At 41.6% G+C, this 20,416-nt stretch overlaps 1 protein-coding gene across 12 annotated transcripts in view, besides 4 other annotated features; it reads right to left on the bottom strand.

Moving 5' to 3' along the window:
• Positions 1-20,416, bottom strand: part of RAD51B (RAD51 paralog B) — an 863,318-nt gene that overhangs the window by 360,623 nt on the left and 482,279 nt on the right. The window lies entirely within an intron of this gene.
• Positions 8,867-8,946: an enhancer, noted in NCBI's record as "active region_8605". NCBI's record gives its function as "activates an Ori minimal core promoter by ATAC-STARR-seq in GM12878 lymphoblastoid cells {active_cell/tissue: GM12878}" and the evidence as "EXISTENCE:reporter gene assay evidence [ECO:0000049][PMID:35858748]".
• Positions 9,227-9,276: an enhancer, noted in NCBI's record as "active region_8604". NCBI's record gives its function as "activates an Ori minimal core promoter by ATAC-STARR-seq in GM12878 lymphoblastoid cells {active_cell/tissue: GM12878}" and the evidence as "EXISTENCE:reporter gene assay evidence [ECO:0000049][PMID:35858748]".
• Positions 13,187-13,256: an enhancer, noted in NCBI's record as "active region_8603". NCBI's record gives its function as "activates an Ori minimal core promoter by ATAC-STARR-seq in GM12878 lymphoblastoid cells {active_cell/tissue: GM12878}" and the evidence as "EXISTENCE:reporter gene assay evidence [ECO:0000049][PMID:35858748]".
• Positions 15,933-16,072: an enhancer, noted in NCBI's record as "active region_8602". NCBI's record gives its function as "activates an Ori minimal core promoter by ATAC-STARR-seq in GM12878 lymphoblastoid cells {active_cell/tissue: GM12878}" and the evidence as "EXISTENCE:reporter gene assay evidence [ECO:0000049][PMID:35858748]".

Below are 20,416 nucleotides of genomic sequence, written 5' to 3'. Positions count from 1 at the left end.
ACAGGGCCATACATCCTGACAGTCAATATGAAGCAAAGGCAGCAAAAGCAACTGAAACATGTGGAAGGGATGGGGAAGGAAATTTGGATGGCAGTTGGAATGGGAAATAATTGGTCAGTTTGGCCAAAATACAGGTGAGAAGAGATCCATCAAGCTGGACTAATTGTCAAAATCCTTGAGTGAAATTATGTAATATGCTCTCTTATAGGCCTTCAAACTGCCAGTCAGATTTATTTTGGACCCCTTCAAGATACCATACAGAAGTCGAACATAGTTCTTCATGCATGAATTAAAAGAAAAACACTATTATTATTTCTTCCTTCATTTTATACATTTATTTAATCTAGTGCTTACTACATGCTAAGCACTGTTCTAAGTGTATTATAAATATTAAGTCATTGTGTTGGGCGCAGTGGCTATGGCTGTAATCCCAGCACTTTTGGAGGCTGAGGCAGGTAGATCCCCTGAGCTCAGGAGTTTGAGACCAGCCTGGGCAACATGGTGAAACTCCACCTCTACCAAAAATACAAAAATTAGCCAGGTGTGGTCCCAGCTACTCAGGAGGCTGAAGTGGGAGTAGCTGTGGTCCCAGCTACTCAGGAGGCTGAAGTGGGAGGATAATTGGGGCCTGGGAAATTGAGGCTGCAGTGAGCCATGATCGCAGCACTGTACTCCAGCAGGGATGACAGAGCAAGACCCTGTCTCAAAAAAATAAACACATTAATTTTAAAAAATTTAAAAATTAACTAACTGAATCCTCATAGCAACAATGTGAGGTCAGAATGATTATTTTGCCTTTTTTTACAGAAAGGGCAACAGAAGCTCAGAGTTTAAGTAACTTGCTCAAGGTCTACCCTTGTGCTGCCTCTCTGGGTACCAAGAAAGAGCAGATTATGGATCAAATGCTGCTATTTGCTAAGCCTCTAAGAGGCAACAAAATGCTAAGAGCAGAGACTCATCAGTGATGTCTTCCCAGAGCTGCTTTTGAACTCTTCCAAGTCTATCACTTACTAAATTGTTTCTGAAAGCCCCTGTGGCACCAGCATTCCACACCCAAAAGGAGAGAACCAAAACCTTTGCAAGCTTGGCGAGTGTATAAATTGGCTAAATTAGACCCTAAGTGGGAAGGTGGGTTAGAAAAGGACAGGGGAATGTGAGGAGGGAGAATAAAAGGGGAGTGGGCGACTGGGCTGCCCTAGTCTTGCAGTACGGAGCAAGATTACTTTTTACAGATGTGTAGGGCTAAGAGAGAAGATCATAACATTATACCTCCTACTATGGCTTTTTCCCCCTAGTTTTACTTTTTTGGTGGGCAGGGTTTCAATTTCCTTTTAGAATTGGATAGGCTTGATTTTAAAAATCGTGAGAAGTTAGTGGTTAAAGGAAACAGGAAGTAGGAGAAACATGGCACAATGGGGACTTGGAGACAGATGAGGAGAGTGCAGAGGAAAAGAAAAGAGGAGGTTTCTATACTTCTGCAGGGGGGAAAGAAACATGAGAGATGTGTTAAGAGTTGGAGGAGAAAGGCTAGGGAAGCTTTTAACCAGAAAGAGCCAGTGTTCTAGTGTGACCCTATGAAAACAACTCTTCCAGACCTTTGGGTCCATAGCCCACAGTGTAAGAAATGCTATTGGGATACTTGGTAGACCACACCCACAGAGCTATTTCACAGTCAACAACTGTGGCCACAGCAGATGATGGGATGGAAGGGCTAACTTCATAAACTTTCCCAGTTTGACCAAGTAAAACTTTTTATTTAATGAGATCAAAATGCTGACAAATCATTTTATAGAGGGAGTGAGCCAGAAGGAATATGTGTTGGTTCTAAAAGAAAGTGGGTGTTGGGCAGTATATTTTTGTTACTTCTTAACAAAGAGGAAAGCAGGGAGGAGGAAGAGAGGGGCAAGGCCCCTTGCCTTTGGCAGGCAGTAGGCTGAATACTACGGTAGCTCTGCAGAATTAGAACAGCCATCTTGGAACAATCATTTGACTCCTATGTAAGCTCATCTCAAAGCTGTTAGCTATTTACAGTCTAAGGCTTGAGAGTCTCCTCAGGCTCTTTAAAGATATTAAAATGATAACACATTTTAATATGTCAAATTTAATACTACAAAAATGTTGTAATAAAGTTTCAGGGCTTTCTTTCCCCATTGGTTTAATCATATGCATATAAAACAGGAGGCATCCAAAGTTAACATCTTCTAGTGCCCAGATTTCTGCGTCTATTGCATTGCAGTGTGATACACACGGACAAAGATTCTTTAAGGCCAGTTTCAGACCGAAAGTACTCTATTAATTCCAGCCAGTAAAGAACAAGGAGAGAAAGGGATGATTCCAATATCAAGCCAAACTGGGGGCTTGGGGAGGGAGAGGAAAAGTGGAGAATCTAAGGGCATCACATGCAGTAGTACAATGGTTACTGAAGGGGTTTTGGAGTCAGATTGATTTGAATGCTTATCCCACTTCTGCCTTTCAATGGCTCTGTGACCTGCAGAAAGTTACTAAACCTCTCTGGGTCTTTATTTCCTCATCTGTAAAATGGAGATAACAGTATCTGTCTCATAGGGTTGTTAGAAGGCAGTATGAACTCAGGCAGGTAATGCAGGTAAGGCACTGGCACATATTAGGCACTCAGTAAATGATAGCTATTATTCTCAGAACCATGTCTAGTGAGACTCCACTTCTCTAGGCTAGATAGACATTTTACAGAAGAATTAAAAAGGGTGTGGAGCTACCCTAAAGAAGCTAAGCACTTTAGATTTCAAAGGGAGCCTCCATTCTGACCTGATCCTCTGAGTTAAAGCTGGAACACAGAAGCATCCAGGTGATCTACAAGGTATAACTCTGAGCTACAGTAGACCTAGGTGAGCCATTCCCAATAGAATTGGATCTCCAGAGCTGGCTACAAGAAGATAAAAAAATGAGAAAGGACTCCTTTCACTTGGTATGACTGGACTTGATTCTATTTTCAAAGCTTTATCTATTGTTTTGTTTAGGTTTAAAATTGACAGTGATTTTCAATAATCATAAAAGCTCCCAGGCTCCTTGGACAGTTTTTTTATTGAAGTAACAAAGCACTGCAGATTTGGCAAAAAGAAATACAAGGCTCAGTTAAATTTAAATTTCAGGTAAACAATGAATAATTTTGAAGTATGAGTAGGTCCCAGTACAATATTTTAGATGTACTCATACAAAAATTGTTGTTTATCTAAAATTCTAATTTAACTGGACATCTTGGAATTTTTTGGGAACCCTAAACAGTGGCCAAGAATTTGCCCTTTGTAACATGCAGAGTGGCAAAGCAGTCACCAAAACAACAACAACAAAAACTCCTCCGTTTCCAGGGCCCTTACTTCTCAACAAATGCAGCACTAAATTCTCAGGCTTTTTGTTTGTTTGTTTTTTAAAGATCATTTCCCTACAGAGAGGTTTTTTTAAAGCATCTCACAGTCTAGAGAAAAAATAACAATGGGATGGGACTTCCCCTCTGATGGCATCTAAATAATTACTGGTTGGCTGACGTTTAAGACATGATACTTGTAAGAGTACTGACCCCTTGCTTTTTTAGCTTTCCTAGCCAAGGCCAACAGGTTAAGTTATGTTCTTCCAAAAATATCTCTTCTTTATTCTTCATGAAAAAAATACACATGCAGAAATTATCTTCCCCCAGATGAAACAGCATTTTCTTTGGCGGGTTCAATGCCACTAAATACTAGGAAATTAACCTTCGGGGCTTAAGGGGCAAGGCCCAACAGTGCTGGCCATTGTCTCTAGCTACAGCTGCAGCCTGGCTATTCACACTGACCCCAGAGAGGGAGGTCCGCCATGTCATGAACAAGGCCACACGGTAGGTAGACCGTCCATGCAAACAAATAAATGCAAAACTCTCTCTTTCTTAGTAATATCAAAAACAACTGAGTTCTTTCCTTCCTGATGGAAAGTCAATAATATTCCTTACTTTCCAAAATATCCCCAAACAACCCCAGGTTCAAGGTCTTAGCAACTTAAATTTAGAAATAGGTTTACCCTATAAGGCCCTAGGGATTTTAAGCAAATGGTACCACTCTTCTTTTTTTTCTTTTTCTCAGACCTCCTATTCATTTCCTAAGGCTACTCAGGTGCAGTGACTACTCTTTCAAAGGTTAGCAACCAATGTTTCAAGGGATTGTTGGATTTTTAATCTTCTTGAAAGTATTACATTAAGCTCTTGGGCCAGGTTACAGCAGCCTATGGCCAGGTTGAACTGGACAAAAATAGAATTCACTCTAGCTTACAAATCTGGCACAAATTACGTGCTGGTCAAAAACGTTTTTTAATCACAGGAATCACTAGTGAAAATCCACTGGTGCTTTCTGTGGCCCAGTGGGTGTGACCACCTGATGAATTCAGAAAGAAGAAACCAAAGAAGAAAACTAATCACATCACCTTGGTGTAAAGCATGCATAACAGACAGAGTGAAATTAATGGCTTCTCTAGGAAGCCTTCCTTGATACAGGCAAAGCAGAGCCTTGTGATTCCCTTAATTCCCTTGTTTCTGACATAAGTATATAGAAATAGCTATACTATGTGATATATGTATCAATCCATTTTGGATTACTCACTGTTCTCAGAACACATCCCAAGTTCTCCTGTCCCTGAGCCTTTGCTCACATCTTTCTTCTGGACTGTTTCCCACTTTTACCCATGCCGGGCAAAAGCCTATCTCAATTTTTTCAAAATTCAACTCAAATGCAATTCTTCCCTTAAATGGTCTCTCTTTCTCTCCCAAATTCCAAGTGTTCTTTGCTTTTTCCACCTTTTCACAGATATCTAACTGGAAGGAGTGATGGACTTGTTTCTCTCATGAATGACAAAGCCCCCAAGGCAGGGACTGGATCTCACAGAGCCTCATCCAAATGGAGCCGAGGGTAGGGACTCAGTGTCAGCAGGACTAGTGAGCTTATTAACCATGTCATTGATTTCTTAGTAACATCAACTCTAGAAAGTCTTTACTGATGACCTTCCTGACATCACACGGCACTTTACCACAGAATTTATGACATCATACTGAAATTTAACAGAAACCACTGGACTACTAGTTCTTAAGGGTAGAGACATTGTCTCACTATCCATGTGTCTGCAGTACCTAACACAGTACTTGAAAATGAGAGGGCACGTAAATAAATATGTTCAAAGTGAACTATAAGCCCTTTAAGGGGAGCTTAGACTCTCATCTTCTGCTCCTTCTCATTATAACCATGAAACATTAATTGATGCTGACACCTGAGGCAGGTTCTGCAGCAGCTTCTCATTTTTTTTCAAGTAGGTCATACCATTTGGTAAGCAAAAATATGGAAAATGTTCTGAAATATAAGTGCTAATCTCAAGGTTTCATGTATTTTGAGAAGCTTGAGACTTAATTGTCTCAAATAGTTTCCTGGGTGGCCCTCTTCCTTAACCCAAGATAGCCTCATAAATTTCTGTTTCACTTCAGCATGATCTACATTCCAATTATGATCATTATTTGGTGTTTTCAAAATAACTCCAACGAAGTTCTAAGACTGGATTATATGATGACAAGACTTTATAAATTTATTATACTAAAAATCATTGAATTGTATACTTACAATGGGTGAATTTTATAGTATGTAAATTATACCTCAATAAATCTGTAAAGAAAATTAACTTCGACTAGTCATCAACAGAGGATCCTCTTATTTTTCATTTTAACCTCCAAGGTCTACCATAGTAAAAGACAGCATGGCTGTTCCTCATTAGCCAAGAGGTGCGTCCACTCTGGCGGGAGTGTTCAGGCAGGTCACCAAATGTAAACAGCCCTGTAAAGGTCATCACAAAGGCGCTGTTGTTCTGTCTCACAGCCGAGAAGGAAAGGAGAGTCGCCACAGAATATCTACTCTTTCTTGCATCCTAATTAGAAACATGTGGAAGAGGGCCCACCCACAGGTCAAACCAGTCAGAAAGGCCCCATTTCTTCTACCTAATGTTGCATGTTGGCTAAAGTAAGACCTCTCCCTGGCCTGCCATGGGAATGGTTTCAAATTATAAAAGTATCTCCAAAGGCCACCATCAAAGCACCAGTAGATTTTCACTAGTGGCTCCCCATGATTTGAAAAACACTTCCTTGACCAGCACATAATTCGTGCCAGGTTGGTAAACTGGAACCAATTCCATTTGTTTGTCCACTTCAACCTGGCCAAGGGCTGTTGTGCCCTGGCCCAAATTACACACTCTCAGACTCCCTTGGGTAGGTGAAATGCAGAACTTACAAAGTTTAAAAGCTCTAGGCAGTATCTTGGAGACATAGATCATACAAATGTCTGTATTCTTTCTTGTAACCCATTTAAGTTGAACTTAATATTTTTATTCTTCCCATTTTATAGATGGTGAATATAGCATCAATACCTAAACTGTCTCAATGAGCTATCAAGTAAATGAACAATAGGTTATATAAACTCTATTAATGCCCTAAAGAAAATGCCGTATAAGTCTAAGATGATATTTATTACAACACTACGAAAAGAGCAATGCTGTTGTTCTCATTCAGATAAGCCCTAGTTAATATTCACATTTCTTCAAACTCTGGGGGGCAGTGACTTGTTCTAGTAGTAGAAAATTAATATAAAGTCAGTTCAAGTAAAACTAAAGTTTTAGGGGCTGGGTGCAGTGGTTCACGCCTGTAATCCCAGCACTTTGGGAGGCCAAGGCGGGCAGATCATGAGGTCAGGAGATGGAGACTATCCTGGCTAACATGGTGAAACCCTGTCTCTACTAAAAATACAAAAAAATTAGCCGGGCGTGGTGGCGGGCACCTGTAGTCCCAGCTACTCGGGAGGCTGAGGCAGGAGAATGGTGTGAACCCGGGAGGTGGAGCTTGCAGTGAGCAGAGATCACGCCACTGCACTCCAGCCTGGGTGATAGAGTGAGACTCTGTCTCAAAAAAAGAAAAAAAGAAAAAAAACCTAAAGTTTTACTTTGGGCCTAGAGAGCTGCTAATGCTGGCAGACCTTATTATTTACACATACTAAAATGATGATGATGTTGTTGTTTTTAACATAGGGAGCAATACATGCAAAGACTGTTGTGCTGGCCCAACATGGGGCCTTTTGCAAAGATCAGATAGTCCAAGAGGCCTGCTTTGATCTGACGAAAGATGGGTATTTAATCTCCTATGTGGAAGAAAACTATAGTTCTTAGATTAATAACCCGCTACAGATCTGCTGCCAAACTGCTCCAAGTCTCTCCTCCTAATGTGAAATAAAATGGCCATTTACTTCAAATCACATGGTAGAGCCAGCTTGTGCCAGAGAATATGCATTCCTTCTTCCCTCATTTAGATACATAAAAGATCAGTGCTTCGGGAGCTCAGTCTGTACTGTGAACTTCATTGTTTCTTCTAAGTTTGCCAGACACAGGATGAGGGACTGACAATAGGTGGTTCTTGGAAAGAAACTTTGAAAACTAAAGGGAGTTAACTTTACATGTGGAGAGTTGATCTTCTTGGTTGAGATACACAATTAAAATGAGACAAAGACTGAAAGGCCTTCTGGTGAACCCATGCAAAGTGTCACTAGCTGCCGTTTCACAGAAAACCAACTGGGTTCTGGCAACTGGATGGTGGTGGCAGTGGGTGGGGAGGGGAAGTCGTAATTAAGAACCCATGGTTCCAGTTAAATTGGTCGCACGCTCTACAGGAGCTCTGTCTGTACTCTGAACCATCATTGCCTGTCATAAGGGCCAGAGGATCAAAGCTTGGACACAGTGGATGATCCTGAATGAATCTCTGAGCTTCTCTGTGCTGCCTCAACTCTTAAAAAATAAATAAATAAGATCCATCCACTTTGGTGTGAAATGAAGTGGCACCATGGTTTTGGCATCATAACCAAGATAAGTCTTGTTAATATTACTCTGCTCTGTAGACTCAACTGTGTGGAAGCTTTGGGCTTCCAATGTATGAACAAATGCCAGGGGCTGAATGATCAGCAGCCAAATGTAAAATCAGATTCGCTGAAAAGAGGCAAGCATTTTAAGTCTGCCTTTCAAAGACCTGCAGCCCCACCTGACTACTGAGGTCTAAATGGAAGTGATTAACACTATTTGGTTGCATTTTCTTTGGCTAGCTCATGCCTTGTTGACCACTGAGAGACATTCGGGCAGGAAGAGGGATCAGAATGAGTGCAGGGGTCAGAGGGGTAGGGGGAGGGACAGGAGAAGACACAGTGGAGTAGGAGTGAACTGGGCAGTGGAAGTGTCCTTTTATCGAATGCTTATTTTCCTCGAGGCAGGGCGATGATAGCGAACTTGCTATCAGCACTCTTGGATCAATCTTTCCAGATGCTTCTCTGAAGAGAGAATGACTCTGATCAAACCCTCCCCAAGCCAGAAGTTGAGGAAGTAGGAGGAGGAATTTTAAAAGTGGGTAATGCACATAGAATTCTTAATAGGAAGCTAGATGAACTGCTCTGGCACACAGCAGTATTCTAGTCCCTAAGCTGAAGCTTCCAGGCCTAGAGAGGCTATGGCAATCAGAGGCCACGGGGTCTTTAGCTCCTTCCTCCTAGATTTCAAGATAGCCAGAGAAAAAGGAGGAAGCTAGGCACTAAGAATCCTGGTAGTGAACAATCCTAGCTATTGTCAGCCCATTCCAAATGCCTTCTATTAGAAAAACCATTTATATCACTCAAGACCAATGCCCAAGCCCCCATCTCCCTGATTGTCACTCAATCTATGATGGTTCCAGGGGAACTGCAAGCTAGAGGTGAAGGATTCCTTTGTTTGCATCTCTATGATAGGATGACATGTGGTCCTGAGTGCCAAGGTACTAAGATAAGAGGGGTGCCCAAAATGCCCAGATGGCTGGAGAATGAAAACCCAGAGAAGAGAGCCAAGTTTGCACAGCAGACAAGGGCCACTGTTGCTGGGGCTGGAAGTGGAGTCCTTGTAGTCCACAGACAGCAGCGGAACTAAAGGGAAGCCATCCCCCGACTCAGCTGGTGGGAGTTGGGCGGCTTCCCAGCTGGAAGGGGCTCTAAAACACATCCCTGTAAGCTACCCATGAAAGACAGAAATGCCGTTAAAAACAACAAACAAAAGGAGCCGCTAATCAAGAGGAACTTCAGATTTAAGAATGGGATTCAGTCATCCTTCCAGAAAGATGCATGCCTGGGCCACAGCCCAAGAGAATGACATTCAGCTGCTGTACCCCTCTTTGGGGCCCAAGTTAGGAGGCACTGAAAGGAGAAGAGATTCACAAAGGAGGCAGATGGGACGGCCCCCACAGACATGCAGTGCAGTTCCCATAGAGAATATTATAATTCACCAGGTATAAGCAGTTGCAATTGTGATCAGCTGCTTGAAACCGAAATAATGTTTTGCATAAGAAGCAGCAAAAACCTCAAAATTCATATCGTACCCTTTCCCCATAAACTTTGAAAGTTAAAATCATTTGGTGGTTGATGCACAGTGCTGGAAATCAGCAACCAGTCATCTTGGCCACCCCCAGTTCTAACTACTCAAGACAACCCAACCAAGGGCTTTTTCTGTGGTTAGTAAAACGAAGGTATTTTGCATCAATAGACCAAATGGCCTTAATTCTTTCCCAAGCTTAATACACATAACCAGGCTACTTTGCTAACAATGGCTGCTCCCTCTATTTCTTTCCTGCTATTTTCAATACTAACGAAATTGCTCTTAGCAACATTTTATCTTCCACTAATTCCTCAAATAGAAAGGCTATAACAAACATCACCAGGTGAACCAAACAGAACAAGACAATGGAAGAGAGAAACATTTAAAGTTTGATAATTATGCTGGTAAAATCTATAAACTGTGGAAAGAAACTGAAACAAGGCATTTTAGTTTAATTGAGCTTTGAGAACTGTTTGTGTGATTACCAGGGCTGGATTATTTTTTTTTCCTTGAAAGTCCAGCTACCTTTGTTCAGGGAAAAAAAGGGAGGTTATACCTGTTGACCCAGCTGCCCTCAGGCAACAACAGGGTCAATACTGGAGGGAATTTGCAGGTCTGTGAAGACTGATCCTTCATCCCATCCTTGTCTTAATAACTGGATGAGTAAACCAATAGAATCTTCTCCCTCTGCATTTTAGCCTGCAACATGTTTTAAACTAGAAGACAGCAGAGAAGCAGAACGGTGGATCCGTTATACATTCTGCTCCGAACATGCATGGATATCACACAACTGAGAGACTCTAGGGAACTGCGATTTTGCTCTTTCCACCTTTTCAGAAGTGTCAGTGCAGGCTGAGCCAATCTTCACAATCAGAAACAGCTTCTCTGTTTATAACTTACCCTTGGATATAACACCTTTCATCAGCACTAAAAAACAAAACAAAACAAAAAAAAACACACATTTCTTCCCCGTTGTGCTACTGTCCTATACGGACTTGGGCCTTTGTGGATGAAGAACACTCAGTTATCCCTGAAAATAGACAAAATTGTATTTAGTTGATTTGTACAACATGAATTGAAATAACAATGCTGAGTTTCAATGGGTCTGTTTGCTGAATTAGAATATGTTTGGGGCCAATATCCAGTTACCTTCTATTTATTTATTTATTTATTTTTGAGAGGGAGTCTTGCTCTGCAGCCCAGGCTGGAGTGCAGTGGCACGATCTTGGCTCACTGCAACCTCCACCTCCCAGGTCCCAGTTCAAGCAATTCTCCTGCCTCAGCCTCCCGAGTAGCTGGGATTACAGGCACATGCCACCATGCCCAGCTAATTTTTGTATTTTTAGTAGAGACAGGGTTTCACCATGTTGGCCAGGCTGGTCTTGAACTTCTGACCTAGTGATCCACCCGCCTCGGCCTCCCAAAGTGCTGGGATTACAGGCTTAAGCCACCACACCTGGCCCAGTTACCTTCTCTTTAAATCTTGTCCTCCTCACAAATGACATCAACATCTATGGGTGGAGTCTTCTTAACAGCACTAGTGCTGTTTTAAGTATGATAATAAAAGGAAAAAAGGTGATCTTGAGCTGAGATAGCTTAAAGATTGCAATAGGAACAGGATACCCTTTGAAAAGAGAATGCAAGCTCTTCAGAAGAGCAAGAATTCAGGATGTCCTAGGTCACTGCTGGTGGCATTGTCATTTATCAGTGGCTGCAGAAACACGGTGGCCAGATTTCCTGAAAATTTTTTAAAAGGCTTTTTTCCTGAATTGTCTCCTGATGTAAACCATTATTTATTTGCAAGAGATGAGGGAAAAAAGGCATATACATATATTAAAACCTCAAGCCTTTAAAATAGCCATTGCCTGCTTCTCAAATGGCCTATTTAGTAAGTCTCATTTTCTTGCAATGATTTCCTCTTCAAAGTTGCCTAGGGGTAGTCTATTAAAATTTATTTTATGGGTTTTTCTTTTCTTTCTTTTTTTAACTAGATTACATGTTGGACTGCAGTTAACAACGTAGACATGGCACCGACAATCTACTCTGCATCCCTCCACTCACAAAAACGTTCTGGAGAGACTGCACTTCATCCATGCAAAGATGAGGTGTGTGGGGTTGGGAAAATGGGAGATGAGGAGTTAAGAGGTGATGGATGGAAGACCACTATCTAAACAGGTTCAAAGGTAATCTGCTTCTTAATTTTTAATTAATTAATTAATTTTTTGAGATGGAGTCTTGCTCTGTGGCCCAGGCTAGAGTGCAGTGGCGTGATCTCTGCTTACTGAAACCTCTGCCTCCCAGGTTCAAGTGATTCTCCTGCCTCAGCCTCCCGAGTAGCCGGGATTACAGATGTGCACCACCACACCCAGCTAATTTTTGTATTTTTAATAGAGACGGGTTTCACCATGTTGGTCAGGCTGGTCTTGAACTCCTGACCTAAAGTGATCTGCCCACCTCGGCCTCCCAAAGTGCTGGGATTACAGGCGTGAGCCACCACGTCCAGCCGTGACCTGCTTTTTAAAAAGACTGCCCCCTTCCCCCTCACACCCTGCATCAAGCACTCATACCTATGATGGTGATACTGACAACAGCATGGGGTTCTCCACTAATATTGTTGTGATCATATCTACCGTGTGGTTTACAGGCTTCATGGTTTTGTAAAAAACACAAGCACAGAGAAGGAAAAAGTGAAACAGTCGAAAATTCATATCAGGTGATAAGAGGAAATCAGGTTTGGATGCCTAAGGGGAAAACAGCCCTCAGAGCTTTGATGTGATCCCTTCCATCCTACAGTGAGCAGGGTATCTGATCTTACTTCTACCCAACACCACCCAAGAGTGAAGCTGCCAGAGTGAAGGGCCTTTTACACAGGAGAGAGGTGGGCACCCTCATAAGGCTCTCCAGTCTTCCCAGGAGCCGTCTATCAGACAACTGATTGATTCAAAACCAGTTTATTATTAAGGCCTTGAATTATAGAAGACAGGAATATCAATGAAAGTATTTCCATGCCTGACAATGGCTCCAAACTAACATAAAAAAACCTGAATCAAATAATACCTTATAATCTTCTGTATTCCTCAAATTATGTTTCCCATGATAATTTACATGTGCCATCCTAGTATGTCTAAGAATATTCCATATATAAGGCCATCACATTCTACTGAAATTTCCTGAGTGTCACAGCTGGAATAACCACTTCCCCATGATTATTCACTTCCTTTGGCTAGAGGAACCAGCTCTGCCAGGGTCCAATACCAGCGGCTCTGTGGCGGTTCCCTCACCATGTCTTTGGCAGACATCCAGCCTCTACCATTAGTTGGGATGTTTTACAGCAAACAACACTGCATTAAAAGATGCTTATTTAGGGAGATTTAATTAAAGTGATTGGCATTATTATCATTATTGTTATTATTAAAATATTATGGAAGTTCCTAAATGCAGAATGAGAACTCCATGCCCCAGTGATTTTCATCTCCCAAAATAATAAAAGTTAAATCTAGCAGGAACTATTTGGCTTTATGATCTTGGAAGATACAGTGTTGCTTAATGTCTGCTGGATTCTTCCTTTGCCCTTCACTTTTCTCTACCTCTCCGTGATTTTTCTTTCTTCTCTACCTGAAAATAAACATTCTTTACCTTCAGGACTCTCATTTGCTGATCCTTGAGTCGTGATGGTGATGAGTAATGATGCCTCTGTGGCTCATTTCACTACAAGTACCAGTGCCATTGACTTGGCTTTTACTTTAAAAACTGGGAAGTGGGTAACAGACATCCACACTTCATGAAGCTGCTCTGTCTCAAATGCTTCCCATCAGACAGAGAGAAACAGAGCTTCCTTTCTTGGTGGAGAACATGAGCTATCTTTTATGCCTTCTCAGTTAATGAAGGGTCTTACTGTAAGAATAGCTTTTCCAGTCCATAAGCAAGATAACTCGTGAAAAAAATCTGCTAACATTTCTAAGAGATAAATATGAAACGCCCATCTTAAGTGACACAGAAACATCATCAAATAGTGTAGTGTTGCATCAAAGATATGTTCATAGGTCTAACAGTGAAATAACTGGTGTTATGACATGACAGCGAGGATTTTTCCCTCTGTTTTGTAAGAGCCTTCTCTCTCAGTTTTGTCCATGAGCTGAGAGCAAGGGCAGCTTTTCCAATAGAAAGTACATTTGGTTTCAATTCACTTTCATAACAACAGACACTAACTCTTAGGAAGATGGAGAACATTAAGCTCCATTGTTCAGGCTGAGGATGACTGACTTGGGTGGCAGAAAGCTAAACAGTCTCTTTTCTGAAGAAGAAAATGCCTACGGGTGTAGCAAATCTCATTCCCAAACAGCCCTTTTTTTTTTTTTTTTTTTAATGACACAGATATAAATGACAGTGAAGGAAAATTAAAGAATCATCTCAAATCATAGAACTGGGAAGGGACCTCAAGAAATCATCATCTGATTCAGCCTCCTCTAGAAAGTTTTGTTTCTTAAATAATTTTATAAACACCAAGGCATTGTTATTTAACAAGGTCTAAGGGCAGAGAAAAATATTTTATAAATTATTTTCGTAAGCTGCTTGTAGGGCCTTTTATTATCTTAAATAATGACTAAATGAATGAAATTCTTTGAGATTTGGCAGCTTTAAGATTGCAGAGGTTGTTAAGAGGTAGAAATAGGATCCATGTTGTGTCCCTTTGGCAAAAGAAAATACTCATGCCACTGGTTCATGTCCCAAACAACCAGAAACTCACTCTCCATCTTTCTAATTTTTCAGAAATAACCTGTCATGTACATTTCCTTTTCTCTCACTGACAGAAAAGAAGGCATATTGGATAAGCAAATATAATGGAAGAATTCTGATGTGCAAAATGTCCTAATAAAGGGTCCTTCAGGGCAAAAAATACTCAAGTTGGGAGTTATGTAATTCTATCCTTGATATTATTTAGAAAACAACAGGAGAAAATACCATCCACCGTACATTCCTCGAGAACCTCCAATCAAAGGCTCTAGCATGTTTCCTGGCTTCAGACTGGCTATAAATAAATTTAATAAGGACGAAAAAAAAATCACTGCATCATTTACAGTTCTCTCTCAACTCCAGCTGACAAAAATCCAGTCCAGATGTTTGTGTTGCAAGAACAACAGTAAGAGGGTGAGCCTCAATCGTGAATATGAAAGCCCAGAGAGGGTGAGTTTGAAGAGAAAGGGAGAGCTAGGTTGGCAAGGAGGGTGTGAACAAACTTGATTTGATACTAGCTTACAGAAACACAGTAATTAATTTATTTTGTGTATAAGAAATCCAGTTTATTAGCCTTTCCTCTGCCTCATCTCCCTTTTCAAAGCCACTGGAGTTTGGCTGGTGAAGCTTGAAATGGTTGTTCCATAACCTTTGCTTTTAAATTAAACAAATGACTTCAGATTTTGGAGCAGTTGTTGACTCAGGGGAAAGCATGCCATTAAAAGTGTGCCAGAGACAGATTTAATTGGTGCAAGTCCCAAAAACTGCTTGAAGTACAGGCTTCCCACATATAGATTTCAGGGAAATTACTCAAAGGCCGCACAGCTTTGTCAGAATTTGAGATGTGAAACAAGGCAGCTGAAAGACTCCATATCAAAAGGGTAAATTCAATTCAGGAGATATTAATCTGATTACCTAAGTAAGGCTGTGAATCGGATATGCTCCATTGTGTGCTCTCGTTCAACCTGGACAGCTGGAGGAGCCAATAGCTTCCTTTTCTCTGACATATAATTAAGTTTTAAGAGATGATCAGGTTACGGATACAAAGTTTTAAGAAATATATCATTCAGGAGTGGCATTTACAGTGCTCGCCTGTTGCAAGAGACATTGTTCACTTTATTTCCTTGAGCCACACTGGAGAGTGTGTGGATCAGGGCCTAGGGGCTTGGTGTTTGTGTTTCAGGCTACAATAAACGCCCTCTGTGCACCTGCCTGGAGGAAAAACCAGTCCAGCCGCCTCCCAAGACAAAAGCGCCCTGTATTAAGTGCTGAAAACCCAGACATGAACTGACCCTGTCAAATTCCAGATAGGGAAAAAAAAAAAAAATCAATATTTTCATCCAATCCAAGAGGAGCTGTCATGTAGGTTTCTGGATTTCCTTTCTCATCTGCACTAAGTCTGAGCAACAATGACCTGTCAACAGAAGTCATCTCCTTTCTCCTGAGTCTCCTCGTCTTTCTAGATTCCTTCCCTGATGGCACAACCCATTGCCTGGCATGCCATAATCTGCCCTCCAGAGGTCAACGCATTCTCCCACTCTTTCTCTACCAGGTCTTTCCCACTGGAATCTCACTTCGGCCATGCAAGTTCATCTTCTGAAAGAGAACATTACTAACTCATGTGTTTTCAACGAGTTTTCCAATACACACTTGTCACAAACTCTAGGTACATTTAGAATTGCAAGAATGTTTATTAGGCCAGAGGATCAAGGTTATATTTCTTCCATGCTCACTGTGGTTTCCAATGCAAATTGGTCAAAAGATATACTGGGTCACACATACCAATTTCAGATGACTTCCTCTGAGAGAGCTGTTCAGCTTGGGCTTGTTCTAATTCATGTCTAGAATTAATCATGCTTGTCTCAGCTGACCTGCACATTCTCATGGAGAAAAAAAATGATTTCTTACAAATATGAAACCCAGCTAGGTGAAGTTTCATTTGTGAATTTCACCAGAGGCATGGGCAACTTTAACCTAAGTCATGGGTAAATAAACTGAAAAGGACAAGGTGATTACCTGAACTTGAAAGTGCAAGTTGGTTACAGGACCAGAAAGTACTTGTGAATTGCAATCTCCTACTCCTCTAAGCCAACCCAAAATGGAGAGAGAAATTAATTAAATCATGATTTTGATAATTATTTAAAACTGCCATAGACAGTAAAGCTTTGGCTACAAACGTTTGTTAATATATTTGATGATGAATAACTAAACTTTCAAGGTTAACAGTTTTCTCAAGGTTCTTCAATAGCTCCTCCAAACTCTAGCCCAGAGGGGAGGGACGGATGTGGGAACCAAGATGATCAGCACAAGAAAGCCAGTTCCCCAACACGGCCCTTCCACTAGGATGTGCTCGATTGTTTGTGTCTGAAGAGAGGAGAGGAACCAAGCAGCATTTTACTTCATTTGGTGCTCATTAAACAGCTGGCCGAGAAAAACAGTCATCCACCACAGGTACTAAGCTACTTCAACCTATACCATGCTATGATGGCCAGCCTGGCAAGTTCTCAGTGGAACAGGGGACTGGTTAATAGCCTGCCACCTTGTAAGTGGGTCTAACTCAATGATGGAGGTGGTCTGCTGGCTGATATCCAGGCACTGCAGACACAGTGAGTCAGGACAGACCAACCAAGGGGCCCATCTTAGTTCTGCCCTGACATCCTAAGGCAGTGGTCCAAGCCTCCATCACAAAGATCATGATGATCTCTCCTTTCTGTGAATGCCTCTGATATTAAAAATCTGCTTCTCTCATCCTGGCAATTCATTAGATGCTGTACTACAGTGTGACTTCAACTGTTTCATGTCTGTGGGCCTCACGTTCTGGATTTTCCTTCTTTTTGTAACTTTTCTTGTCTTATGCACTGTAGTGCAATACATATAGCCAGTTTAGATGTAAAGTTTAGCTTCATTACAGTATGCAGGAATTCTAGGGTTCCAACCAGATAAAACTGAAAAACACTAGAATTAGCCTTTATGTTTGAGAGGGGAGAGGCCAAGCCTGATACCGTTCTTATGGCCTCCTGAAAATTCAGCAAGCATTTCACATTATAGATGCTTCATACTTAACGTGTAAATGAATGAACAATTGAATGAATGGACCCAGTGCTCAAATTTTGGTTTCAGTCTCACTCTACTTGGGACAGTAAAGAGTTCTGCAGTAAAAACAAGGAAGGGAGAAATTTGAACTATACCAAGTGGTGGGAATACATCACAATGACTCAACGGGATGTAGGGAAAAAATACTAGAACCCACTTCATATTTTAAAAATTCTATTTCTGGTGTGTTTTATATAACTTTATATAGTAGCACTATAGTTTTTGGCAGCAATTTTCCATACTTTGGGGCAATATGCTAAAAAATGATGGGTTATAGATTCAAAAGATTGCTGCTCTAGATATCCAATATAATAACAGTGACAAAAGAAATGTGACAAAATGCTCATAGATGGGTTGGTCCAGCCTTCTTCAAGAGGTGAACAGAGAAGCCTGTCTGAGGCTTGAACATACCAATTTGCTCACCGAAGACAGAATGTGACAGAAGAAGCAAACTGAAAGGCCTGCCAGCTTCACCTAATGCAAGCTCTTATGTGTATAGCTGAGGGAATTGAGGTCCAGGGAAGTTAAGTGCCTTGCTCAAAATAGTACAGATGGTTTGTGGCAAAGCTGGTCCTTGAATACAAGTCTCCCAATTCTAAATGCAGTGCTTCAGCTTCTGTTAAAACACACTGCTTTTCTACTGACTATCAGCATAGAGATTTCAGGGCACACATAAAGAAACAGCTGCACTTATAGTGATGCATGGAAACCTCTCAAATCTAACAATGACAGAAATATGTGATCATAAGCTCTAGCTGAGGTAGTTGTATGATCATCTTGAAGAGCTGAGTATGGTATACTGGTCAAGAGCACAGACTCTAGAGCAAGACTCTAGGTTTGAATGCCAACTAATTACTAGTTATGCGATCATCAGCAAGTTATGGAAATACTTCGTACTTCAGTTTCTTTGTTTCTAAATTGAGGGTGATAATTGAACCCCACTAAGTTGTTGCATTTTTATGTGCTTAGTATAGTGCCTGACGCATAATAGGCACTCAATATTATTATTGCAATCATTAGCAAAAGGAACATAACACTTGTATTAATTTCCATAGTGCCTTTTTTTTTTTTTGAGACAGAGTCTTGCTCTCTCGCCCAGGCTGGAGTGCAGTGGCGCCATCTCTGCTCACTGCAACCTCCGCCTCACAGGCTCAAGTGATTCTTGTGCCTCAGCCTCCTGGGTAGCTGGGATTACAGGCATGCACCATCACATCCAGCTAATTTTTGTATTTTTCATAGAGATGGTGTTTCGCCATGTTGTCCAGGCTGGTCTTGAACTCCTGGCCTCAAGTGATCTGCCCACCTCAGCCTCCCAAAGTGCTGGGATTATAGGTATGAGCCACCACACAGAGCCCTCATAGTTCCATTTAGTACTTTAAGTCATTTGCTATTTTCTCTCACATCCTAGCAGAGTTATAGATAGCCTGACACCATTTCTAACTGTTAGGCGCCTTGATAAATGGAGGGCTCGCCTGATGTTATTCAGAAGGCTGGTATACCAAAGAAATCTCTCCTGGGTTGGTAAGGTAGGAAGCTAGAACCAGACCTGGCCACCCAACATCTCAGAAAGGTTAAAACTTATTCTAAAGTTCTCATTGCTTTAAGAAGTTTAGGGCTAACCCCACCCCAAAGTGACTTGCCTCAAAGAGATCAAAATCCAAGTTCTATAGTTTCATCTCCATCCCCCTAACCTGTAAATGGCTGCCTGAGAAAATGCTTCCAACTACAAAATGACTCCGTCACTTCCGTATTTCTTTTTCTTTTCTTTTTTTTTTTTTTTTTTTATTATACTTTATATTCTGGGATACATGTGCAGAACGTGCAGGTTTGTTGCATGGGTATACATGTGCCATGGTGGTTTGCTGCACCCGTCAACCTGTCATCTACATTAGGTATTTCTCCTAATGCTATACCTCCCCTAGCCCCCAACCTGGTGTGTGATGTTTCTCTCCCCGTGTCCATGTGTTCTCATTGTTCAGCTCCCACTTATGAGTGAGAACATGCGGTGTTTGGTTTTCTGTTCTTGGATTAGTTTGCTGAGAATGATGGTTTCCAGCTTCATCCATGTCCCTGCAAAGGACATGAGCTCATCCTTTTTTATGGCTGCATGGTATTCCACAGTGTGTATGTGCCACATTTTCTTTATACTTCCCTATTTCAATGGCTCCCTATTACCCTCAGGAAAAAATTCAAACTGATCAGCATGAGGAATAAGACCTTTCTGTTGGGAGCAAGCCCCCCAAAATCTTGCCATAAACTGGCCCCAAAACTGGCCATAAATAAAATCTCTGCAGCACTGTGACATGTTCATGATGGCCATAATGCCCACGCTGGAAGGTTGTGGGTTTATGGGAATGAGGGCAAGAACACCTGGCCTGCCCAGGGTGGAAAACTGCTTAAAGGCATTCTTAAGCCACAAACAATAGCATGAGTGATCTGTGCCTTAAGGATATGCTCCTGCTGCAGTTAACTAGCCCAACCTATTCCTTTAATTTGGCCCATCCCTTCGTTTCCCATAAGGGATACTTTTAGTTAATTTAATATCTATAGAAACAATGCTAATGACTGGCTTGCTGTTAATAAATATGTGGATAAATCTCTGTTTGGGGCTCTCATCTCTGCAGGCTGTGAGACCCCTGATTTCCTACTTCACACCTCTATATTTCTGTGTGAGTCTTTAATTCCTCTAGCGCCACTGGGTTAGGGTCTCCCCAACCGAGCTGGTCTCGGCAATCCGGCCCCTGCCTGGATTCCATGACGGGGGCTTTTCCCTCTGTCAGGTGCACTTTCCCCTTCTCTCTCTCCTATTAAGAACTGCTGTTAATTCTTCACATGCCTCCTTGTTGTAAAGTTCCTAGAGAGCCTCCATCCCCAAGCCAGGACTCCTATCTGTTCCCCAAAAACATCCCAAACCTAATGCCATCATGACACCAAATGTAACCTGCTTACTTGTCCGTCATAGCCACAGCCCTTCCCCTCCCCTGATTGTGAGCTTCCCATAGAGCAGGGACTGTAGCATTTGTCTATGTGTCCCAAGCACCTGTCTAACACATGACCTAGCAGATGGTAGGTGGCTAATAAATATCATTATAGTGTATCACACTAAGCTACTCAGTCACCACCCTTGTGTGAAGGTGGGAGATTTCTCCTTCAAAAGCTGAGCTGTTCCACTTCTGTTCTTTCC

The sequence above is a fragment of the Homo sapiens genome, chromosome 14 (genome assembly GCF_000001405.40).
Source record: "Homo sapiens chromosome 14, GRCh38.p14 Primary Assembly".
In the NCBI taxonomy this organism is placed as follows: Eukaryota; Metazoa; Chordata; class Mammalia; order Primates; family Hominidae; genus Homo; species Homo sapiens.
Note: the sequence above shows the minus strand (reverse complement) of the source record. Positions and strands in the feature narration are given on the sequence as shown.